General features: G+C 50.2%; 1 protein-coding gene across 10 annotated transcripts, besides 3 other annotated features; it reads left to right on the top strand.

The window, feature by feature from the left end:
* On the top strand, window positions 226-13769 carry CIDEC (cell death inducing DFFA like effector c). Of its 10 annotated transcripts, none has more exons than NM_001199551.2 (7): window positions 226-255; window positions 1968-2045; window positions 3260-3413; window positions 10005-10034; window positions 10157-10315; window positions 10410-10597; window positions 13183-13765. In NM_001199551.2, the coding sequence occupies exons 2-7, from the start codon at window positions 1993-1995 to the stop codon at window positions 13343-13345; spliced, it is 747 nt and encodes a 248-aa protein (NP_001186480.1). In that variant the 5' UTR covers window positions 226-255; window positions 1968-1992; the 3' UTR covers window positions 13346-13765. The 10 variants fall into 10 exon arrangements, with proteins under 10 accessions (NP_001186480.1, NP_001308071.1, NP_001186481.1 ...); NM_001321142.2 differs by lacking the exon at window positions 10005-10034 and adding an exon at window positions 1425-1537; NM_001199552.2 differs by lacking the exon at window positions 10005-10034.
* Window positions 16100-16394: a silencer, noted in NCBI's record as "tiled region #9891; K562 Repressive non-DNase unmatched - State 7:EnhWF". NCBI's record gives its function as "represses a minimal TATA promoter and a strong SV40 promoter by Sharpr-MPRA in K562 cells {active_cell/tissue: K562}" and the evidence as "EXISTENCE:reporter gene assay evidence [ECO:0000049][PMID:27701403]".
* Window positions 17500-17794: a silencer, noted in NCBI's record as "tiled region #13942; HepG2 Repressive DNase unmatched - State 4:PromP". NCBI's record gives its function as "represses a minimal TATA promoter and a strong SV40 promoter by Sharpr-MPRA in HepG2 cells {active_cell/tissue: HepG2}" and the evidence as "EXISTENCE:reporter gene assay evidence [ECO:0000049][PMID:27701403]".
* Window positions 20612-21152: an enhancer, noted in NCBI's record as "H3K4me1 hESC enhancer chr3:9901011-9901551 (GRCh37/hg19 assembly coordinates)". NCBI's record gives its function as "activates a minimal SCP1, AML or CMV promoter by ChIP-STARR-seq in naive H9 embryonic stem cells {active_cell/tissue: H9 hESC(naive)}" and the evidence as "EXISTENCE:reporter gene assay evidence [ECO:0000049][PMID:30033119]".

The following is a 24785-nucleotide window of genomic DNA, read 5'->3' as shown; positions in this document are numbered from 1 at the left end:
ACATCTGCCTGCTTTCTGTGCCCTCTGTGCTTGATCTCATGTCATGGGCCATCCATTTTGCCAAAGCTTTCGAAACATGCCTTCTCCCCTCCTTTTAGGCCTTTTCTGGAAGTCAGGCTGGCTTGCAGCTCTCACCCCAAGCTCTTTTCCCCAGCTGGGGCTGAAGGCTGGGGAGGAGCTTCATGGGGGCTGGAAATAAATGAAGGGAGGGCTGGGCGGGACAGGGCAGTATTTCCAGGAGGCTGTGAGGGGGAGGTAAGGAGTTTGTTATTGTTTTGGGTTTGGGGATTTTTTTTTCTTTGCTCCTGGAGAGCAGGTTAGGTAGCTCTTGGCAGAGTTTTGCTAGGGATACGAAGTGGGTGAGGCTGAGGCAAGCAGAATCCTCCTGCCTCAGCCTCCCACGTAGCTAGGACTAGAGCTTCTGCAGTGCTAAGTGGGAAAGGGGCTTTCTGCCTCTGTGGGGCCTGGTCTGGAAAGTCCCCCAAATTGTTAAAAGCAAAGAGTGATTGTCCCCAGCTGGCAAGGGGACTTTTGTTTTATGTCCACCCCTTGTGCCCCTTGCTCTGCGAAGCCCTACCTGTGCCGGGAGCTTCGAATAGGAAGAGGACCTCAGGGCCAGGCATCCAGGGACTGAGGGGCTACAGCAGAAACAGACCCAGAGGCACCCTTGGCTAGGAAGAGCAGGATGAAGGTGTAATAATTTTGGGAGTGGTCTAAGAAGACTTTCCTTTTAAAGAGTGGAAAGCAATGAAACTGAGGCTTCAAGGCTGCAAAAATTTCGTCCTGGATCAGAGAAGGGCACTACAGGTGGAGGGAACTATCTGTGCAAAGGGTTGGGCCCTTCAAGAGTTGGAGCACAGAGGTTTAGGAGAAAAAGTGGTGACAGATGAGCCCAGGGCTATCTGCTTAGACCTGTGATCTAATATGGGTGCCAACAGCCACATGGCAATGTGGCTATTTAAATTTAAATTAGTTAAAATTCAATAAAGTAAAAAATACAGCTCCTGTGCCAGGTGCAGTGGCTCACGCCTGTAATCCCCGCACTTTGGGAGGCCAAGACAGGGAGATCACCTGAGGTCAGGAGTTCAAGACCAGCCTAGCCAACATGGTGAAACCCAGTCTCTACTAAAAATCCAAACAAAACGAAACTAAACTAAAAATTAGCTGGGCGTGGTGGCAGGTGCCTGTAATCCCAGCTACGGGGGAGGCTGAGGCAGGATAATTGCTTGAACCCAGGAGGCGGAGGTTGTAGTGAGCAAGATCGCCCCATTGCACTCCAGCCTGGGTGACAAGAGCGAAACTCAAAAAAAAAAAAAATTCAGCTCCTGAATCACACTAGTTATGTTTCAAATACTCAATAGCCACATGGGGCTAGTAGCAATGGTATTGGAGAGTATGTACAAGGCATGCCTCTATCATCACAGAATGTTCTTTTGGCCACTGTGAAGCCTCAGGAAGGGGCTCGGATTGCTCAAGGACCCATGGGAGAGAGGAGGCTTTGACTGGGCTGCCTGCCTGTGAGGTCTCTGGACTAGAGGTGAGGGAACGGTCCCCAGAAGTGTGAGGTGGTGTGACTCACCTCCTGCCAGCGTAAAGTGGACTCTGTCCCCATGGACAGGAACAAATCGGGCAAGGCTTCTTCAGCCCTGAGTTGGGTTATCTGCTCAGTGTGACCAGAGCCAGGGGATGAGAAACATGGAGTGAGTGGGACTGGGGCAGGAGCAGCAGCTGCTGAGTGAGGCTGAGCCTGAGCACCCGGTGGGGAGAGGGGTGGGGTCTCCAGCTTGGTCTTGGTTGGCATGCATGGGGCCGGACAGGAGAAGGGCTGGGGGAGGTATGTGTGAGTTGGGATAGAAGAATAGGGAGGAAGGTTGCTGAACAGGGGTTGGGTTGCACCTTGCCTAACAATGAGAGAGATGGGAACCCTCTCATCTCACCCTGATGAATTGTTTCTGCCTCCTTCCCAGGTCCAACGCAGTCCAGCTGACAAGGATGGAATACGCCATGAAGTCCCTTAGCCTTCTCTACCCCAAGTCCCTCTCCAGGTGAGGAAAGTCATGGGCAGAATGGAAAGAGAGCCACCTATGAGCTGTAAGCCAGAACTTCTCAAACTTTAATGGGTATACAGGTCACAGGGGACCTTGTTCAAGTGCAGATTCTGATTCAGGAGGTCTGGAGTGGGACCCGAGATTTTGCACTGCCAAGAAGTCCCTGGGTGATATTAATGCTGCTGCTTACACCACCACCACACCATGCATAAAAAGGAGTAGACACTATGCTTGGTGCTTTTACTCCTGATCTCATGTAAGCCTCACAACAACTTTGGGAAGTGGGGGTTATTATACCAAATTAATAGGTGAGAGAACTGAGGCACATAGTGGGTGCTCTCAATCACCCAGCAAATCCATGAGGGAGCCAAGATTCTAAATTGGGACTGCCTGACTGTAAAATCCAGGTCCTTTCCTTTCCTTTGGTTCTAAATTGAGTGCTTCAGTTAAAAAAATACCTTACATTGACTTCAGGCTTCCCCCACTTCATCCAACTTTACAGGTGAGGAGAGTGAGGCCAAGACAGGTGGTAAATGGGGAATGTGGGGTGGGTCTTTTATTACTTTGCTACTTACTCCTCATGGTCTGAGAACCAGCGTTATCAACATCACTTGGGAACTTGTGAAACATTTGGAATCTCAGGCCTCACCCAGGTCTACTCAGTCAGAATCTGCATTTGAACAGAAGCCCTGGTGACTTATGTGTCCTTCGAAGTTTGAGATGCACTGCTCTAGCAGGCTTTTTTTAATTTTTATTTTATTATTTTTTTTTAAGTCGAGGTCTCCCTCTGTTGCCCAGGCTGGAGTGCAGTGGCACCATCACAGCTCACTGCAACCTCTGCCGCCTCCCAGGGTTCAAGCAATTCTTGTGTCCCGGCCTATGGAGCTGGGATTACAGGCATGTGCCACCACACTGGCTAATCTTTGTATTTTTAGTAGAGATGGTGTTTCACCATGTTAGCCAGGGTGGTCTTGAACTCCTGACTTCAAGTGATCTGCCCACCTCAGCCTTCCAAAGTGTGGGATTACAGACATGAGCCACCGTGCCTGGCTTCTAGCAGGCTTCTGAGTAAGACTAGGGCAGGATTAGCAGGTGATGGGGGGTTGACTGATCATGAGCCCAGTCAGGAGGGGTGGGGAGGTGGCTCCCCTGTGTGGTGGGCAAGGGTTGGGCAAAGTGGGTGGCTCACCCTGATGCTTCAACTGCCCCAGGCATGTGTCAGTGCGTACCTCTGTGGTGACCCAGCAGCTGCTGTCGGAGCCCAGCCCCAAGGCCCCCAGGGCCCGGCCCTGCCGCGTAAGCACGGCGGATCGAAGCGTGAGGAAGGGCATCATGGCTTACAGTCTTGAGGACCTCCTCCTCAAGGTGAGAGCACCTGCGCGTTGCACAGCCCAGCTGTGAGCTGGGATTCAGCAGAGATGGAGGTCAGGGCTTAGAAGGTGGCACAGTTTCCTTTCTGATACCTACCAGCGCCTACAGATGGTAATGCCCACCTGGAGAGCTGTCCAACTAATTAGCAATGACTGATGTCTGTTTGGTAACAGGAGGGGGGCAGTACGTTACCATCCTACACTATCAGTAGGTCAGTGGTATTTTCAGGGCACATTTTTCTTGCTGGAAAATCTCATGCTTCCCACTTCCATTAGTTTTTTTTTTTTTTTTTTTTTTTTTTTGAGACGAAGTCTCACTCTTGTCATCCAGGCTGGAGTGCAATGGCGCGATCTTGGCTCACTGCAACCTCTGCCTCCCAGAATCAAGCGATTCTCCTGCCTCAGCCTCCTGAGTAGCTGGGACTACAGGCACACACCACCACACCCAGCTAATTTTTTGTACTTTAGTAGAGACAGGGTTTCACTGTGTTGCCCAGGCTGGTCTCGAACTCCTGAGCTCAGGCAATCCACCCACCTTGGCCTCCCAAAGTGTTGGGATTACAGGTGTGAGCTACCACACCCAGCCCAAGATGGAGTCTTGCTGTGTCACCCAAGTTGTAGTGCAGTGGCATGATCTCAGCTCACTGAAGTCTCCGCCTCCCAGGTTCAAGTGATTCTCATGCCTCAGCCTCCCAAGAAGCTGGGACTACAGGCATGCACCACCACGCCCAGTTAATTTTTGTATTTTTAGTAAAGATGGGGTTTTGTCATGTTGGCCAGGCTGGTCTCAAACTCCCGACCTCAGGTAATCCACCCACCTCTGCCTCCCAAAGTGCTGGGATTATAGGCGTCAGCCACCATGCCTGTCCTCACTGATCATCTCTATAGGGGTGGGACCCTCTCATCTGCAATCCCAGGTGCCTGGTACAGGTCAAATGTTTGGATTAGGCTTCCAATTATTAGGCTCTATTTAACATACAGAAATCAATCATAGCTAACCTCTTTATTCTAAGTTTCCTCCCCTATTTCTGTGTATTAGTTCTGTTCTTCCGGAGAGCCAATTTCCCCTCCTTTGTAAGGCTTCTGGCTGCGCAGACTACATTTCTTGTGCTTTCAATCAAAAGGACCTGTTCATACTCTAACCTGGACTTGGTGCTGTTTTTTTGCCCTGAGGTCTGGGCACCCCCTGCATCAAAGTGTCCTTGTTATATGTGGCTTCCCCTGGAGGAAGCAATTGCAAACTAACAAAAGTTACACAGTACAAATACAATACAAAACTTTGCCTGAATCATTTGAGAGTAAGTTGCCAACTTGCTGCCTATTACTCTTGGATACTTCAATGTGCATTTTCTACAAACAAGGATATTCTCCTTTCTACAAACAAGGATAGCCATCATACAACTATTACAATCAGGAAACAGTATTACATTACTGTAATTGAATCCTGAAACTCAAGCATTGCCAGCTGTCCCAATAATATCCTTTATAGTGAAAGGATCCAGGTCAGGATCAAGTGTTTATTTAATTGTATGTCTCTTTAGTTTCCTTCAGTATGGAACAGTTTTTCAGTGTTTCCTTGACTTTCATGGCCTTGACCATTTTGAAGATTATGAGCCAGCTATTTTTGTTTACTGTCCCTTGGTTTGGAACTATGCATTTCTTTTTTCTTTTTTTTTTTTTTTTTGAGACAGAGTCTCGCTTTGTCGCCCACGCTGGAGTGCAGTGGTGCTATCTCGGCTCACTGCAAGCTCTGCCTCCCGGCTTCCCACCATTCTCCTGCCTCAGCCTCCTGAGTAGCTGGGACTACGGGCGCCCGCCACCGCGCCCAGCTAATTTTTTTTGTATTTTTGGTAGAGACGGGGTTTCACCGTGTTAGCCAGGATGGCCTCAATCTCCTGACCTCGTGATCTGCCTGCCTCGACCTCCCAAAGTGCTGGGATTACAGGTGTGAGCCACCACACCTGGCCCTATCCATTTCTTTAATTCAGGTTTATATCTTTGGCAGGAATATGATAAAAATAAGTTGCAGGCCAGGCATAGTGGCTCATGCTTGTAATCCTAACACTTTGGGAGGCCGAGGCAGGAGGAGTCCTTGAGCCCAGGAGTTCAAGACCAGCCTGGGCAACATGGTGAGACCCCGTCTATACAAAAATAATACAGGAATTAGCTGGACATGGTGGTGTGCACCTGTAGTCCCAGTTACTCAGGAGGCTGAGGCAGGATGATCACTTGAGCCTAGGAATTTGAGGCTCCAGTGAACTGTGAATGCACCACTGCACTGCAGCCTGTGTGACAGAGCGAGACCCTGTTTAAAAAAAATTTTAAAAAGATTGTCACTGCAAAATTATATGCAATTTTTGTCACCTTACTGTTTTGATTATTTGAATAAAGTGGTAGGTACAGTCAAGCTTCTCTATGTAACATTTTCCCCTCTGTTATTTATTTTCTAGGTCAGTACTTTGTACTAAGTAAACATTGAATTCTGCATCTGTCACTGTATTCACTTATTATTATTATTATTATTATTATTATTATTATTATTTTAGAGAAAGGGTCTCGCTCCATTGCCCCGGCTAGAATGCAGTGATGTGATGATGGCTCACTGCAGCCTCAAACTCCTAGGTTCAAGTGATCCTGCCACCTCAGCCTCCCGACTCGCTAGGACTATAGGTACACGATCTCACACCTAATTTTTAATTTTTTTTTAAATAGAGAGGGGGTCTAGCTATGTTTCCTAGCCTGGTCTCAAACTCCTGGCCTCAAGTGATCCTCCCACCTCGGCCTCCCAAAGTGCTGGGATTACAGGCATGAGCCACTGCATCTGGCCTATTTATTTATTTATTTATTTGTTTCAAAAGGGACACAGGTATTTCTATTTTAATAGCATACATGAATGGCAACAGATTATTTATTGATGCTCAAGTTGTCCCAGACTTCAACATCTTTTTATCATGTCCCCAGCATTCTTTGCATGCTTTCTTTCTGGTGCAACAAGGTATTACAGGCTCATCTTGTATTTTCCCTGCCCTAATTCTTGGCCATTTTTTTCTAAGGTCTGTTTCATTTTAGTGGAGAATGGTATTCAGAAACCGAGACCAGGGAGCTAGATATGTTCATTGCTATTGGTGTGTTGCTGATCCCAGGCCCTTACTGAAAGAGTTTTAAGTAGCAAGATATGTTCCTTAGTGAATCCAAGCAAGAAAAGTGACGTGATAATGCCATCATTCCAAGATAACTAATGATGTGGTTGTAAATGTCCTGAGGAGCCTATTCTTATTATGGACCATGTAATCTGCCAGGTGATTTGCAGCATTTCTTCTGATGAGAGCCTTAAGGTAGTTACCACTATTTCCATTCTCCAGAGGCAGAGGCCAAGTGCATTCACTGGGATTGAAACCCAGGCAGTTAACCTAAGTGTCATGACACTTTTTTTTTTTGAGACGGTGAGACGGAGTCTCACTCTGTCGCCCAGGCTGGAGTGCAGTGGCGTGATCTCAGCTCACTGCAAGCTCCACCTCCCAGGTTCACGCCATTCTCCTGCCTCAGCCTCTGGAGTAGCTGGGACTACAGGTACCTGCCACCACGCCTGGCTAATTTTTGTATTTTTAGTAGAGACAGGGTTTCACCGTGTTAGCCAGGATGGTCTCGATCTCCTGACCTCGTGATCCACCTGCCTTGGCCTTGGCCTCCCAAAGTGCTGGGATTACAGGCGTGAGCCACTGCACCCGGCCGTCATGACATTTTTGCATTTAATCACTATAACAACTTATAAACTGTACTTGCCTCAACTTTTTTTGATGATGAAACTAGTTCAGAGAAGTAAGTAAAAATGGACCAAAGACCTAAATGTAAGAACTAAAACTATAAAACCCTTAGAAGAAAACATAGTATGTAAGTCTTCATGGCCTTGACTTCCTAGATACGGCACCAAAGCAGAGCGACCAAAGGGAAAAACAAACAAACAAAAAAACAAAACCAAAACAAACCAAAACAAACAAAACCAAAACAAAACAAAATAAGCAAAAACAAAACCAAAAAAACTGGACTTCATCAGCAATAAAACCTTTTTTTTTAGACAGAGTCTTCCTCTGTCACCCAGGCTGGAGTGCAGTGGTGCAATCTAGGCTCACTGCAACCTCTGCCTTGCGGGCTCAAGCAATTCTCATGCCTCAGCCTTCTGAGCAGCTGGGACTACAGGCGCGCACCACCACGCCCAGCTAATTTTTTGTAATTTTAGTAGAGACGGGGTTTCACCATGTTGGCTAGGCTGGTCTCGAACTCTTGACCTCAGGTGATCCACCTGACTTTGCCTCCTAAAGTGCTAGGATTACAGGCATGAGCCACTACGCCCAGCCTAAAACTTTTGTATATCAAGGGACACTAGCAAGAAAGTAAAAAACACAGCCCACAAAATGGGAGAAAATAGTTGCAAATCATATAGCTGATAAGGGTCTAATATCAAGAATATATAGTGTTTACAGCTAAGCAAGAAAAAGACAACCCAATTAAAAATGCGCAAAGGATTTGAGTAGATATTTCTCCAAAGAAGATAACACAGTGGCCAATAAACCCATGAAAAGATGCTTGGCCAAGCGTATTGGCTCATGCCTCTAATTTTAGCACTTCGGGAGGTGGAGGCAGGCGGATCGCTTGAGCCCAGGAGTTCAAGACCAGCCTGGGTAACATGGCAAAACCTTACTTCTACAAAAAAATACAAAAATTAGCTGGGAACGGTGGCACATGCCTGTAGTCCCAGCTACTTGGGAGACTGAGGTGGGAGGATCACTTGAGCCTAGGAGGGTGACACTGCAGTGAGTCATGATGGCACCACTGCACTCCAGCCTGGGTGAGAGAGCAAGACCCTGTTTCAAAAAAAAAAGGCTCAGCATCATTAATCATTAGGGGAATGCAAATTAAAATCACTTCATCCACCAAAAAGTGGATATATGGCTGGGTGTTGTGCCTCACGTCTGTAATCCAAGCACTTTAGGAGGCCGAGGCGGGAGGACTGCCTGAGCATCCAGGAGTTCGAGAACAGCCTTGGCAACATGGTGAGATCCTATCTCTATTAAAAAAACAAAAAACAAAACAAAACCAAAAACAAAACAAACAAACGAAAAAAAGATTTTTGGGCCTGGTGCAGTGGCTCATGCCTATAATCCCTGCACTTTGGGAGGCCGAGGCAGGCGGATCAACTGAGGTCGGGAGTTTGAGACCAGCCTGACCAACATAGAGAAACCTTGTATCTACTACAAGTATAAAATTAGCTGGGTGTGGTGGCACATGTCTGTAATCCCAGCCACTCAGGAAGGCTGAGGCAGGAGAATCGCTTGAACCCAGGAGGTGGGGATTGCGGTGAGTCGAGATCATGCCACTGCACTCCAGCCTGGGAAACAAGAGCAAAACTCAGTCTCAAAAAAAGAAAAAAAAATAAGGATTTTTGGCTAAAATACAGACAATGAAAGCATCAGTGAGGATGTAAGGAGACTGGAGTTCTCATACGTTGCTAGTGGGGATGTAAAATGATGCAGCCACTGTGGAAAACAGTTTGGCACCTCCTCAAAGTTAAACATAGGCCCATTGTGGTGGCTCATGCTTGTAATCCCAGCATTTTGGGAGGCTGAGCAGGGAGGATTACTTGAGCCCAGGAGTTTGAGACCAGCCTGGGAAACAAAGCAGCACCCTGTCTCCACCAAAAAAAAAAAAAAAAAAAAATTAGCTGGGCAACATGGCACAAACCTGTAATCTCAGCTACTTGGGAGGCTAAAGTAGAAGGATCACTTGAGCCCAGGAGGTTGAGGCTGCAGTGAGCTGTGATTATACCACTGCATTCCAACCTGGTTAAAGAGCAAGGCCTTCTCCCCAGAAAAAAAAAAAAAAAAAAAAATTAAACATAGAGTTAATGTATGACTCAGCAATTCTACTCCTAGGTATATATGCCCAGGAAAATTGAAAACATATGTTCATATAAAAACTTGTACACAAAAACTCATAGCAGCATTATTCATAATAGTCAAGAATAAACAATCCAAGCGTTCATCCACTGATAAATAGATTTTAAAATCTGTTATATCTATATAGTAGAATATTATTTAGCCAAAAAAAAAAAAGAATGAATTATGTCCGGACGTGATAGCACATGCCTGTAATTCCAGCACTTTGGGAGGCCAAGGTAGAAGGATCCCTTGAGGCAAGGAGTTTGAGACCAGTCTGAGCAACATAGCCAGACACCATCTTTAAAAAAACATAAACATTAGGCAGGTAGTAATGGCATGCAACTGTAGTCCCAGCTACTCGGGAGGCTGAGGCAGGAGGATTGCTTGTGCCCAAGAGTTGGAGGCTGCAATGAGCTACAATTATGTCATGTGCTCTCTACTTATGCTTATGATATGCTTATGATTACTGCATTCCAGCCTAGTAGTCACTGCACTATTAGGTAGTGGTGATTGTTGCACAACTTTGCGAATATACTAAAAAACCCTGAATTGTACACTTTTAGAGGGTAACTTTTAGAGTATGTAAACTGTATCACAATTAAAAATTATATGTGACTTACATTATATTTTATTGGACAATATTATTCTAGACTAGGAACCCTGAAGCCAGGAGCCAAGAGGTACCATGATAAAGTCTCTGGGTAGTGATTCCACAGCAGAGGGCCTGGGCTCCAGTTCCACCTCATAGAGTCCAGCCCACTTGTTCTGGGATGGCAGAAGCATCACTGACCTTATTCCCCAGGTCCGGGACACTCTGATGCTGGCAGACAAGCCCTTCTTCCTGGTGCTGGAGGAAGATGGCACAACTGTAGAGACAGAAGAGTACTTCCAAGCCCTGGCAGGGGATACAGTGTTCATGGTCCTCCAGAAGGGGCAGAAATGGCAGCCCCCATCAGAACAGGTGAGGTCCCACCTGTTGCACCTGATGGGGGAGAAAATCGGGACTCTGGGAGATGTCTTCAAGGGGTGCTAACCATTTGCTTGTCTCAATGCAGGGGACAAGGCACCCACTGTCCCTCTCCCATAAGCCTGCCAAGAAGATTGATGTGGCCCGTGTAACGTTTGATCTGTACAAGCTGAACCCACAGGACTTCATTGGCTGCCTGAACGTGAAGGCGACTTTTTATGATACATACTCCCTTTCCTATGATCTGCACTGCTGTGGGGCCAAGCGCATCATGAAGTGAGCAAATTGGGATTTCCTGGGGACAGGGTGGGTACAGGCAATGGGAGAGCCCCTATCTGTCCACATGGACTCAGCCTTCTCAGCGCCTGGGTCTGGCTTTGGTGCTGACAAAGCATAGCCTGTATCAGACAACACGGAGCCTGATGGGCTCTCGAAGTGCTGTGGACGACACCGGCGTGTGCCCAGGGGTGCACGTGTTCCTCCTGGTGGAACCTGGATGCATTTTATTTTTATGACTACTTTCCACTCTAGTAACTACATTTTTTCATTGAAATAGGAAGTTTTCCTAAGTAGTCTTCTAGTCAATTTTATAAAAATGAACATGTGTTGGCCAGGCACGGTGGCTCATGCCTGTAATCCCAGCACTTTGAGAGGCCAAGGTGGGTGGATCACTTGAGGTCAGGAGTTTGAGACCAGCCTGGCCAACATGGCAAAACCTAATCTCTACAAAAATATGAAAACTAGCTGGACATCGTGGTGCATGCCTGTAATCCCAACTACTCAGGAGGCTGAAGCAGGAGAATCGCTTGAAGCTAGGAGGCAGAGGTTGCAGTGAGCCAAGATTCTGCCACTGCACTCCAGCCTGGGCAAAAGAGCAAGACTGTCTCGGAAAAAAAAACAAAAAAAAGCACGTGTCAAAGACTTAATTGAATTCATTAATTAATGAGAGAACTAGCAAGAAGTTACAATCAGCTCAAAGGAGATTTCAAAATCCCACATATATACAGGTCCAGGAAGAATGATGAGATAGGTTGAGTGCAGCAGCTCTCACCTGGGATCCCAGCACTTTGGGAGGTCAAGGCAGGAGGATCTGTTGAGCCCATGAGTTTGAGACCAGCCTCGGCAACACAGTGAGACCCTGTCTTTATCACACGCCCGTGTGTGCGCACACACACACACACACAAAATGCTGGCAGTGGTAGTATGTACCTATAATCCCAGCTAGGTGGGAGGATTGCTTGAGCCCAGGAGTTTGAGGCTGCAGTGAGATATGACCATACTACTGTGTACTCCAGCCTGGGCAACAGCATGAGACCTTGTCTCTAAAACGAAGAAAAAGAGAGATAAATGTATACATACAAAATTGGGCTTTTTCCCCTGTGGGAATGGGAGGGATGAAATAATCTTCCCTCCATATGACAGAATTAATTTGCAAGTCTTATGGACCAGAGTCATTTGTACTATATAATGAACTTTTCTTAAAACTTATTTTTGAAAGTCTAACCAAATGTCTCAAGAAGCATGAGAATATGTGAGGTTAGAACCCGCTCCCGCTTCCCCATTTCCCCTACTTTCCAAACATCCAACCCCATGTTAATTGCTTTATGCTATTTCAGCCTTATGACCCTGGGTGGCAGGTGCAATCCCATTTTACCCATGAGGAAGCTGAAGCTCAAAGCTAGAGCAGTTTGCTGAAGTTCACCCAGCTAATAAGACTGGATTAGGACTTAGGCCTGCCTGATTCAGGTTCTGTTCTCAGTACATGCTCATGCCAGGCATGGATGTCTTCATGTCCAGCACTCTGAACATGAGCTAGACTGCAGGTGGCTTGGACAGGCCTCAGAGTCTAGAACAGAGTGTCTCAAGGTGCAGAACCATGTTATGGAGATTAATCTGGTTGGTCCAAAGTAGTAGTAGAAAAATAAAAGCCTTATGAAATGAGCTGGGGTTTTGCATGAGAAAGTAGGGAGGTTCCGGGCATCTCAGTTAAGGTGGAATTGCAGGTCCTCGCACTAATCTTGATCCCATCTGCAGCATCTGTTCCTATTTGCACATCGCTCTAGAATTGATGAAATGCTTTTAGTGCTACCACCTCAGTGGTATTCAAATGTTATTAATGAAGAAAACAAACATAATGAAACCAATCCCTTCCAGGCCAGCATGGGAATAAGGGGGTGCAGGGAGGGGGTACACTCTTGTTTTTATTTATTATGTATTTATTTATTTTTGAGACAGAGACTCACTCTGTCACCCAGGCTGGAGTGCAGTGGCACAATCTCAGCTCACTACAACCTCTGTCTCCCAGGTTCAAGTGATTTTCGTGCCTCAGCTTCCCGAGTAGCTGAGATTACAGGTGTCTGCCACCACGCCCGGCTAATTTTTTGTATTTTTTAGTAGAGACGGGGTTTCGCCATGTTGGCCAGGCTGGTCTCAAACTCCTGACCTCAAATGATCCACCCACCTCGGCCACCTAAAGTTATAGGATTACAGGCATGAGCCACCAAGCCCAGCCTTGTGTTTTTTGTTTGATTGTTTTTTGAGACTGAATCTTGCTCTGTCACCCAGGCTGGAGTGCAGTGGTGCCACCTCGGCTCACTGTGACCTCCGCCTCCTGGGTTCAAGCGATTCTCCTGCCTCAGGCTCTGGAGTAACTGGGATTACAGTCACCCACCACTATGCCTGCCTAGTTTTTGTATTTTTAGTAGAGACAGAGATTCGCCATGTTGGCCATGCTAGTCTCAAACTCCTGACCTCAGGTTACCCGCCCTCCATGGCCTCCCAAAGTGCTAGGATTACAGGCGTGAACGCCATGCCCGACCTACTTCGTGGTTTTGACTTGCGTGCCCTCTCATTCCACCCAGGGAAGCTTTCCGCTGGGCCCTCTTCAGCATGCAGGCCACAGGCCACGTACTGCTTGGCACCTCCTGTTACCTGCAGCAGCTCCTCGATGCTACGGAGGAAGGGCAGCCCCCCAAGGGCAAGGCCTCATCCCTTATCCCGACCTGTCTGAAGATACTGCAGTGAAAGCCCAAGTCCTTGGAAGCTTTCCCCAGTGAAGGACTGACTGGGGGCCTCACGCTTAACTGGTAGTGCCCACAAGCCTGGCAGCTGTAGAGCCGCGAACCTCCCCACACCTCCCTCACCGCGCAGGACCCTGAGTGAGGAGGAGGAGCTGGAAACCTGGGGTGGGTTGGCCAAAGGAGAACCTCAAGCTCCTGGCCTGATCCAGCTCCTTCCTGCCCAAGGCAGCTTAGCCCATCCAGACTGGTCCTGAAGTCTGTCCCTCCATTGGCATGAAGTCTGCCCCTTAGCAATCTGGCCTCGCAGGCTGTACTTTCATGGTGCTCTCTACCTTCTGGCCCCCATCCCGGAACATTCCTGAGTGAATTCGCAAGCGCACTAGCATGTGATATTAGGGAGTTTGCAATAAATTATTGAGGCTGATGTATCTTCTTTGCCTGTGTTCTTTGGGGTGGGGTTTTATCTGGAAGGTTGGAGGGGGCTAAAGGAAGAGACGAATCTATTGTCAAAGTATTCTCTTTAATGTAGGATTACAGCTAATGGCACTTTTTCTACCAAAGAAGAAAAAAAAAAACAGCTGGGCACAGTGACACGTGCCTGCAGTCCCAGATACTCAGCAAGCTGGGGTGGAAGCATCCCTTGAGACCAGGAGTTCAAGGCCAGGCTGGAGCACAATAGCAAGACCCCAGGCTCCTTAAAAAACAAAATTGCAGTTGATTTTGAAACTAAAGTCAGCTGAATTTGAGGCTTGAGCTGACCATGTAATTGATACCATAAGTAACAATTTCCTAATTAAATTCACCTATCAGAGGAGCTTCAATTGAGCAGGTGGGATTAAGTCACTCTTCTAATTTCTCAGTGTCCCATTTTATAATAACCGTTTAAGTGGTTAGGTGAAAAAGTACTACTCAAGCTGTAAGGCATTTCTCCATCAATGCCCATCCTAACTTGCCAGACAGCTTATCTTTCATGTTCAGGACTTTCAACCTCGGGATTTCAAAGTGGGCTCATAGGTAGCCCCAAAGAGTAGGAGCTTCTCATCAGTGTGAGCTGGCATTTTCCAGTATTGGACAACTCAAGACAAGCATGAAAGGCTGAACTTAGGCTGGGCATGGTGGCTCACGCCGTAATCCCAGCACTTTGGGAGGCCGAGCCAGGCAGATTACCTGAGGTCAGGAGTTCAAGACCAGCCTGACCAACATGGTGAAACCCGGTTTCTATTAAAAACAAAAAAATTAGCTGGCCAGCATGGCAGGCGCCTGTACTCCCAGCTGTTTGGGAGGCTGAGGCAGTAGAATCGCTTGAACCTGGGAGGCAGAGGTTGTGGTAAGCCAAGATCGTGCCACTGCACTACAGCCTGGGTGACAGAGCGAGACTCCATCTCAAAAAAAAAAAAAAAAGGCTGAACTTGTAGAACTTGTAGGTGACTGTTTTATTTAGTCTGTGACTGAAAGATTTAAAAACTTGGCCAGGTGCAGTGGCTCATGCCGGATATCCCGGCACTTTGGGAGGCTGAGGCAGGAGTATCGCTTGAGGCCAGGAGTTCAAGAGCAGCCTGGGCAACATAGCCAGACCCTGTCTCTACACTAGATAATAAAAAAAAATTAGCAGAGCATGGTGGCTGTAGTCCCAGCTACTCAGGAGCCTGAGGCAGGAGGTTCACTGGAGCCCAGTAGGTCGCGGCTGCAGTGAGCTATGATTGTGCCACTGCACTCCAGCCTGGGCAACAGAGTGAGAGCCTGTCTCTGGGAAAAAAAAAAAAGAGGATTCAAAAACTCTATCACAGCCAGCCGCAGTGGCTCACGCCTGTAATCCCAGCGCTTTGGGAGGCCAAGGCGGGTGGATCACAAGGTCAGGCATTTGAGAGCAGCCTGGCCAACATGGCCAAATCCCGTCTCTACTAAAAGTACAAAATATTGGCCGGGCATGGTGGTGGGCACCTGTAATCTCAGCTACTCGGGGGGCTGAGGCAGGAGAATTGCTTGAACCTGGGAGGTGCAGGTTGCAGTGAGCCGAGATTGTGCCATTGCACTCTAGCCTGGACGACAGAGTGAGACTCCGTCTCAAAAAAGAAACAAACAAACAAAAAACGAAAAACAAAACAAAACCTATTGTTTCACTACTCTTACTATAAAGCCTATTTGGATGTAGTAAATACTAAGGCAAAGGCCTATATTACCAAAGATGGTCTGGGAGCTATTTATGGCAGCGGACCCAAACCCTGCAGCCTATGGGCAAAGCGGCTGAAGCTCGCTGAAGAGGGCCTGCTATTCCGGGCTCTCCTGCTCTTTTGCAGTTATGGCTGGAGGCTGGCCCGGTGCCAGGCTGGCTCCATGGGGTGGGCTGTCTGGCAGGGAGGCCTGATGTTTGTATTAGCACAGAAGCTATCCCAGTCCACCCTTGATGAAGCTGTGGCGGGGCCTACCTGCTCCTTCCGTAAAGTGCTCAGTAACAGAGTTGGAGTGGGGGTGGGAGGCTCGGTATTTGTCCCAAGCTTCCCTCCTCCTGAGATCCGGAGTTTCACAAGTGAATCTTGAGCAACTGCCCATGGTCTCTTGGCATTGAGCCCAGGGAAAACAAGGTTCTTTCTTTTCTTCCAGGAGCTCGAGGCTAATGGAGTCAAAGCAGCTGTGGTCAGTGAACAGAAAAGGCAGCCTCTGATGAGGCTTGGGGGCTGGGGAGGGAAGATTCCAAACAGCAAAGGAGTTTGAGCCTCTGTAGGGCCTGGCGGTCCTAGTGGGGGAACGGCCTTTCCTGGGGCCCCCCGCACAGCCAGGAGCAGCTGTCGTCAAGGTGGACTGTGTCCCAGCCCCTCCAGCTCAGCCTTTTCATCTGTTCAAGCTGGTGCTCGGGAGTGCACAGGATGCCTTTCAGAAGAATTCTAAATCCCGGGGGCCTGTGATGCCACAGTCACATGTCTGAGCCCAAAACAAGAGAACCACTTGTGTTTTTGCCACTCTTCTTACCAGCGATGCCCATATTTGTGCATATAATTTTTTTTTTTTTGAGACGCAGTCTCACTCTGTCGCCTGGGCTGGAGTGCAGTAGTGTGATCTCGGCTCACTGCAAGCTCCGCCTCCCGGGTTCATGCCATTCTCCTGCCTCAGCCTCCCAAGTAGCTGGGACTACAGGCACCCGCCACCACGCCCAGCTAATTTTTTGTATTTTTAGTAGAGACGGGGTTTCACCGTGTTAGCCAGGATGGTGTCGATCTCCTGACCTCGTGATCCGCCGGCCTCGGCCTCCCAAAGTGCTGGGATTACAGGCGCAAGCCACCGCGCCCGACCCATATATGTATTTTTTGTGGGGTGGGGGAAATACTGATTCTGAGATGTGTGCTGCCTGGAATCCCATGGCCACCGTGACCAGGGTTGTAGGGGGCCCAGGGGCCCAGGGTCTTTGATGTCAGCCGCATCTCCTGGCCAGCATTGACCCAGGGGTCCCACGTCAGCTGGTTTAGTGGGGGCCGCTCCCTGGGGTCGAGGCTGAGGAATTGTTTTACTAGTGTTTCCAGTGGAAACGAAGAAATAGGTGGAGAGTCATACTGTCACATAGCCTGAGGCGGGAAGGGACCACGGGTGGGGCTGGATGTTCTTTCAGCCTCCCTGGCAGAGATCACTGACAGAGTGGTCAGCTTGGCCAAGCTTCTGCGGTGGATGGCTCTGATGTAGGGGAGGGAGGCAATCCCCAGAGCAGGAATGGGTTCCCAGGGGCCCCTATCCTTGCAGGGGAGGCGCTGGCCATCCTCCCCTCAGAGCCTTCTTCACTGCAGCCCGTAGGGGGGCGAGTGACCTGGAGGATCCGTGCCCCAGGGGCAAACCTCTGGGCTCTGGCTTCAGCCCCACCCGGGAAAACATTCACAGCTCCTCCGGAGAAGCGCCCTGCTGCAGGAAGACTCTAGGGCAGGGCCCAGCTGCGAGGCTACTGGCCTGTTGGTGACAGTACCCCAGGCTTCAAACTCTCTGGGCCTGTTGGCAATTCCCTTCCCTGGGTACAACAGATTCCCACCCGGCCCGCCCTTCTGCTCGCCCCACGGGGAAGTGGCCCAGGAGTGGAGGCGTGGACAGGCATCCCGATGGCTCAGAGTCGGGGTCAGCCTGGACAGCACGGCCTCTGGGGGTCAGACGGGGAGCGAGGGGAAGGTGCCAGGCTCCAGGACAGCCCTTGACAGGCGGTCTGACGGCCTCGGGTCTCCTCTTTTCTGGCCTCGGGGACGGGGCCAGGCGGCGGTGAGCCGCGGGGGGCGGGGCTTTAATGGCCATCGGCCCCACCCAGCCTGCGCTGGGAAGCGGAGACAGGGACGCCCCTGCTCCAGCAGAGCCTGACCCCTGCGGGCTGCCGGGGCCGCCTCCCTCTAGGCGCTGCTGCGCCCACACGGACAGGCGCCCTCTGCGGGTCCCGCGGCTCCCGGCCCCATTCAGCGCCTCCAGATGCCTCACCCGAGCCCTCTCCGCTGGGTCCCCGGGGCCTCAAAGCGCCGACCAAGCCGGGGAGTCACTCCCCTGAGCCACCCGATCTTCCCATGGATCCTTTGGATCCCTGGGTTTTGGAGTTTGTCCTTCCTAAGTGCCGCCTGCCTGGACGCGACTGCCCCAGGACCACAGCTGACCCAGTGCGGCTGCGTCCCCTGCGGGCCACCATCAAGGGCACAGGCATCAGGTCCCCCAAGACTCAGTGACCCGCCCTGCCCGGGGCTGACCCTCAGGGTGGGGAAAGGCCACTAACTCTGGTCCTCTCCCCTTCCTCAAGGCTCCTTCCTCACCTGGGGTGAAGGGCTGCCAGTCCCAGCACCTCAGGGGCCTTCCTGTTTCATTTATACCAACAAATAATCATTCAGTGTGCTGGGACAGAGAAGACAGACACGCTGGCCCCCGGGTGGGCGAGAGAGACTGGTCTGTAAGTGCAGAAAACTCCCAATAGGGACGGGCTAGGAAGGAAACACCAGGAAAAGTGAGGGTGGAAGATGGGGGTGACCCTACTGCAGATGAGATGCTCAGGGAGGGCTTCTCTAGGAGAAGGTGCCATTAACTAGATTGACAAAACGGAAGGGCAGGGCCTGTGAAAGTCTTCTAAGAGAGGGACTGGCAGTGCCCAGGGGGCTGTCGTAGGGATGGAAATAGGACAGCAAGATGGGTGTGGGGAGTGTGAGCCTGGCAGACAGGACCCAGGCTCTATGTGATGGGTGCAGGGGGGGGACCCACGGAGGCCCTGAGAAAGCCCTGGGCCTCAGAAGACAGGGAAACAAGAGGACCCACTTAGAGGCCCTCACAACCTTTGCACAGACAGTGTAAAACGGCTCAGGCCAGAATGTGGTTTAGGTTTCAGAAGGGTGCTGTGTCCCCCACCCTCTTCTTGAGGCTAAAGGGCTCCAACTCCTTAGGCGATTACCACATGGTTCTGGGGCCCCACAGACAGCCTTCTGATGGTTTTTGTCTGTGGCCAGGCAGGGGGCAGGGGGTGACTGCCCCTTCCTTGGCCAAGGGGACAGATAAAGGGAGCCTCTGGGGGCAGGATTGCTGGACTAGGAATCAGACTTGGAGCGTAATCCAAATGCCCCACTGGCCCTGCCTCTTCTCTGGAGCTCAACTTCTTCAAGAAAACTGGGGACAAGAGATGGCAAGACCAGCTCTCAGGACCCTTGCCCCTCCACCCTGTGACACTTTTAGACTGTTCTCAGGGGCCACCTTTTTCAGGAAGAATTCTCGGGTTACAGGAAAGTAAAGGGAGGAGCTGTGTTTTGAGTGGCACTTCGCTCAGGCTCTAGGCTAGGTGTTGGTTTGGTGGGGCTTGCTTTTCCACCTGCCCCAGCCCGCTTCACAAAACCTGAGTCCTGGCTAGGGCCAAGAGTGAGATTCCTGTTTCTAGATTTTCATCATTCTGTGTTGCACAAAACAAGGTCTGGTGGGGGGTGGGGGGTGGGTAAGGAGACAGATATTAGCAAGTATATAATAAAGAAAATTGGCAGGGCATGGTGGCTCATGCCTGTAATCCCAGCACTTTGGGAGGCAGAGGCGGGCAGATCACCCGGTTCACCATGGCCAACATAGTGAAACCCTTTCTCTACCAAAAATACAAAAATTAGCCAGGTGTGGTGGTGCTTGCCTGTAGTCCCAGCTACTTAGGAGGCTGAGGCAAGAGAATGGCTTGAGCCTGGGAGCTGGAGGTTGCAGTGAGCTGATAATGCACGACTGCACTCCAACCTGGGGGACTGAATGAGACTCCATCTCAAAAAAAAAAAAAAAAAGAAAAAAAGAAAGGCCGGGCACAATGGCTCACGCTTGTAATCCCAGCACTTTGGGAGGCCGAGGCGGGCGGATCATGAGGTCAGGAGATCGAGACCATCTTGGCTAACACGGTGAAACCCCGTCTCTACTAAAAAAAAAAAAAAAGATAATTTAGCCAGAGAAAACCTAGAAGAGGAATCAGGATGGGAGGATTAGGAATGGCAGAGGAAGGTGGGGATGGGGGTGGGACAAATAGAAAGGAGGTGGGGGAGGGGGCCAGGGAAATAAAATCCAAGAGATCAGCGGGGATCAGAAGCCACAGCCTTAGTGGGGACCTCAGGAGAGCAGCAACCTGCATCTATCTTGGAAAGGTGGAGAGAGAACTGCAGTGACCTCATTGGGGAGGAAGGGGGAGGTGGCAGGGCAGAGGAAGCAGGGGACAAACAGGAGGAAGAGATGGTGCCCTGGGTCAGGTGGCCGCCACTGCTACCATCAATGGAAGTGGAAAACTCTTTGCCTTCTCCTTACACCTGTCACCATGACACGACACCCCCATGCTTTCTGCCCACCGCCCCCACCTTCTTTAGTAAAGGTGCTGGCAACTAAGGAGCAGAGTCTGATTTGAAGTTGCCGAGGAAACCATCATGGGCAGCTGTGAAACCATCAGGCTTGCCCAGCAGGGAGCTCAGGTTCCCCAAATTGGATGAGCAAATCAGTTTCTGCAGGCCTTGCTGTCCAGGCAAATAAGATGAGGGCAGGGCCATGTGGTTGAGGTGGGTCTGAAACAGGACTCCCAAGGGCACAGGCCCTGCCCAGCCTTGGCACCCAAGGCAGAGCTGGTCAGCCCTGGGCCCCTGTGGGCTGCTATGGCCACCTCCCTTCAGGCGCTGCTGCCCCCACAGAGACGGGCAACCTCTGCAGGTCGCTGGGATTCCAGAGGTGCTCAGAGCCTCCAGATGCCTCACGCAGGCCCTCTCTGCTGGTTCCCCAGGGGCCTCAAAGCGCTGGCCCAGCCACCAGGACACTCCCCTGAGCCTCTCGACCTTCCCGTGGATCCTTTGGAGCCTGGGTTTTGGAGTTTGTCCTTCCTAAAATGCTGCCCACCTGAATGTGGCTGACCCAGAACCACCACTGACCAAGTGCGGCCACGTCCCCTGCAGGCCACCCATCAAGGGCACAGGCAACAGGTGCCCCAAGGGGCCGTGGCCCGTCCTGCCCAGGGCTGACCCTCGGGGTAGGGAGAGGGCACTAACTCGGGTCCTCTACCCTGCCTCAAGGCTCTTTCCTCACCTGGGGGGAAGGGCTTCCAATCCTTGCACCTCAGGGGCCTTCCTGTTTTACTGATGCCAACAAATGAACATTGATCATCTCCCATGTACAGGGACAGAGAAGACAGACAGGCTGGCCCCGGGTGGGTGAGGGAGACTAGTCTGTCAGAGCAAAGACTCCCCATGGAAATAGGGGCTAAGAAGGAAACACCAGGAAAAGTGAAGGTGGAAGATGGGGTGACCCTACTGCAGATGGGGTGCTCAGGGAGGGTTTCTCTGAGGAGGTGACATTCACTTGATTGGTGTATTAGTCTGTTTCATTCAGCTGATAAAAATATACCTGAGACTGGGAAGGAAAAGAGGTTTAATTGGACTTACAATTCCACATGTCTGGGGAGGCCTCAGAATCATGGCAGGAGGCAAAAAGTACTTCTTACGTGGTGGCAGCAGGAGAAAATGAGAAAGAAGCAAAAGCGGAAACCCCTGATAAACCCATCACATCTCATGAGACTTATTCACTATCATGAGAATAGCTTGGGAAATCATGGCCCCCATGATTCAATTACCTCCTCCTGAGTCCCTCCCACAACACATGGGAATTCTGGGAGATACAATCCAAGTTGAGATTTGGGTGGGGACACAGCCAAATGATATCAATTGGCAAAAGGGAAGGGCAGGACCTGTGAAAATCTTCTAAGAGAGGGAACAGCAGTGCCCAGCAGGATGTCCCGGGGGTGGAAATAGGGCAGTGGTTGGGGGTAGGGAGTGTAAGCCAGGCAGGCAGAGCCCAGACACGGTGTGATGCGTGTAAGGGTGGGACCCACGGAAGCTCTAAGAAAGGCCTGGGCCTCAGAAGACAGGGAAACAGGAAGACCCACTTACAGGCCTTCACAGCTTTCTAGGGCACAGACAGTGCAAAATGGCTCAGGCCAGAATGTAGTTTAGGTTTCAGAAGGGTGCTGGGTCCCTCATGCTCTTCTTGAGGCTAAAGGGCTTCAGCTCCTTGAGCCATTTCCAGACATTGTTCTGGGGCCCCGGCTACACGGATGGCCTTCTGATGGTTGTTGTCTGCATCCAGGCAGGGGGCATGAGCTGACCTGCTCCTTCCTTGGCTAAGTGGAAAGATGAAGGAAGCCTCTGGGGGCAGGATTGCTGGACTGGGAATTAGACTTGGAGTGTAATCCAAATGCCCCACAGGCCCTGCCTCTTCTCTGGAGCTTGGCTTCATGTAAACTCGGCTTCATGTAAACTGGGGGACAAGGGATGGCAAGACCAGCTCGCAGGACCCTTGCCCCTCCCCCCTGTGATGCTTCCAAATGGTCTCAGGGGCCACCTTTTTCAGGAAGAATTTTCTGGTTATTGAAGAATAAAGGAAGGAGGCCAGGCGCAGTGGCTCACGCCTGTAATCCCAGCACTTTGGGAGGCTGATGCAGGCAGATCTCTTGAGGATGGAAGTTTGAGATCAGCCTGGCCAACATGGTGAAACCCCATCTCTACGAAAAATTCAAAAAAACAAAAGTAGCCAGGCATGATGGTAGGTGCCTGTAATCCCAGCGACTGGGAGGCTGAGGGAGGAGAATGGCTTGAACCCAGGAGGCAGAGGTTGCAGTGAGCTGAGGTTGCGCCACTACACCCCAGCCTGGGTGACAGAGCGAGACTCTGTCTCAAAAAAAAAAAAAAAAAAAGAATAAAGGAGGAAACATGTTTTGAATGGCATTTATATCAGGCTTTAGACTAGGTGTTGGTTTGGTGGGGTTTGCTTTTTTTTTCTTCCTCCCTTTCACAAAACTTGAGTCCTGTCTAGGGCCAGGAGTTAAATTACAGTTTCCAGATTTTCTTTCCTTTTTTTTTTTTTGAGATGGAGTCTAGCTCTTTTGCCCAGGCTGGAGTGCAGTGGCACAATCTCAGCTCACTGCAACATCCGCCTCCCAGGTCTACACGATTCTCCTGCCTCAGCCTCCTGAATAGCTGGGATTACAGGCATGCGCCATCAAACCCGGCTAATTTTTGTATTTTTAGTAGAGACGAGGTTTCATCATGTTGGTCGGACTGATCTCAAATCCCTGACCTTGTGATCTGCCTGCCTCGGCCTCCCAAAGTGCTGGGATTACAGGCGTGAGCCACAGCACCCGGCCTAGATTTTCTTTTCTTTTCTTTTCTTTTTTTTTTTTTTAGACGGAGTTTCGCTCTGTCGCCCAGGCTGGAGTACAGTGGCAGGATCTCCACTCACTGCAAGCTCCACCTCCTGGGTTCATGCCATTCTCCTGCCTCAGCCTCCTGAGTAGCTGGGACTACAGGCGCCCGCCACCACGCCCGGCTAATTTTTTGTATTTTTAGTAGAGACGGGGTTTCACTGTGTTAGCCAGGATGGTCTCAATCTCCTGACCTCGTGATCCGCCCGCCTTGGCCTCCCAAAGTGCTGGGATTACAGGCGTGAGCCACCACACCGGGCCCTAGATTTTCATCATTGTATGTAGCACAAGACAGACTTCCAGGGGACCCATGGATAGATTATTAGCAAGTAAATAAAAGATGATTTAGCTAGAGAAAATGTAGCAAAAAAGCAATCAGGATGAGGGGATTAGGAATAGCAGAGGAGGAGCTGGGGGAGAGGGAGTTGGGGGTGGGGCTGGGACAAACAGAAAGGAGGTGGGGCAAAAGGCCAGGGAAATCAAGTCCCAGAGGTCAGCAGGGACCAGAAACCACAGTCTTAGTGGGGACTCAGGACAGCAGAGCAGCAAGCTGCGTCTACCTTGGAAAGGTGGAGAGAGGACTGCAGGGAGCTGAGGGTGGAGGAAGGGGGAGATGGCAGGACAGAGGAAGCAGGGGACAGACAGGAGGAAGAGATGGTGCTCCGGGCCAGGTGGGGTGGAGGGGCCCTCTGGTCTCCAGGAGTCTCTAGGCTGCCCTTCAGCTCACCTATAGCTTTTGATAGGCCTTTGGAGGCCACAGGGTTGCCAGATGCCCTCTTGACTTTTGAATCCTGTTCCACTGACCCTGGTAGCAGCTTGGACATCTGCGTCCTCTGCTGAATGCCTCTGGGCCAGATGTGCTGGGCAAATGGCAGCATCGGCATCTTGCCCAGTTCTCACCCACAGCCGTTGAAGTCTACACGTGGTCAACCTGTCACAAGGTTTTTAATGTTCTTGAACCTCAGGGCCTTTATTTTCTCCATTCTGAATGCCAGGATTCGACATGGACCCTCTCAGGTGTTTTGCCATATGCAACACATTCTCATTGACTCTGGTCACCCTGCTGTGCACTAGATGTCAAAACCTCTTCCTCCTTTCCAACTGAGACTGTGGTTTTTTGACCGACAAGCCCCCATTTCTTCCCTCTGCCACCCCTCCACACACCACTCCCAGCCATCGTTCACCATCGACCCACTCGCTATTTCTATGAGGTCAACTTTTTTAGATGGACACTTCAGGGACATCACGTGGAATGTGTCTTTCTGAGGTGATGCAGATACTATGTAGTGTGATTTTGTCATTCCATGGTGCACACATCTATCTAATCCCCGCACTGTATCTTATAAATGAATACAAGCATGATTTGCCAATTAAAATAATATTAAGAAGAACATAATAAATGTAATAAAACACAGGAAGTGTAGCTTGACTGCCCCACCCACTTGGTTTTTGTCTGGGCCCAGCTGTCCATTGGGTTCACTGGTGCTGCCTTATTTCTCCCTTTGACTTTTTTGTGCTAGTCAGAAACAACATAATTGCAGCATGAAACTGAAACATCTTTTGCCCATGGTAGCCATGGCTCCTTTTAGTCACAGAGATTGAGGTTATACCATCCAGCTTCCCGGGGGTTCCCTCAGACCAAGCCACCTCTTCTGGGTCTTCCACATGGAGCGAGCCGACTTCCCAGTGGGTTCCCAGAGACAAGGATCCTTCAGGTTTTCCCCATGGCTGCTGGTGCTCTGGGGAGGGTGAAGCCACA

Source organism: Homo sapiens, chromosome 3 (assembly GCF_000001405.40).
Source record: "Homo sapiens chromosome 3, GRCh38.p14 Primary Assembly".
Lineage (NCBI taxonomy): Eukaryota > Metazoa > Chordata > Mammalia > Primates > Hominidae > Homo > Homo sapiens.
This window is presented reverse-complemented; position numbering and strand designations above follow the sequence as displayed.

Coding starts and splice junctions, on each gene's coding strand:
- CIDEC (NM_001199623.2), top strand. Junction 2,046..3,259: donor TACCCCAAGTCCCTCTCCAG/GTGAGGAAAGTC, acceptor CAACTGCCCCAG/GCATGTGTCAGTGCGTACCT. Junction 10,598..13,182: donor GGGGCCAAGCGCATCATGAA/GTGAGCAAATTG, acceptor CATTCCACCCAG/GGAAGCTTTCCGCTGGGCCC.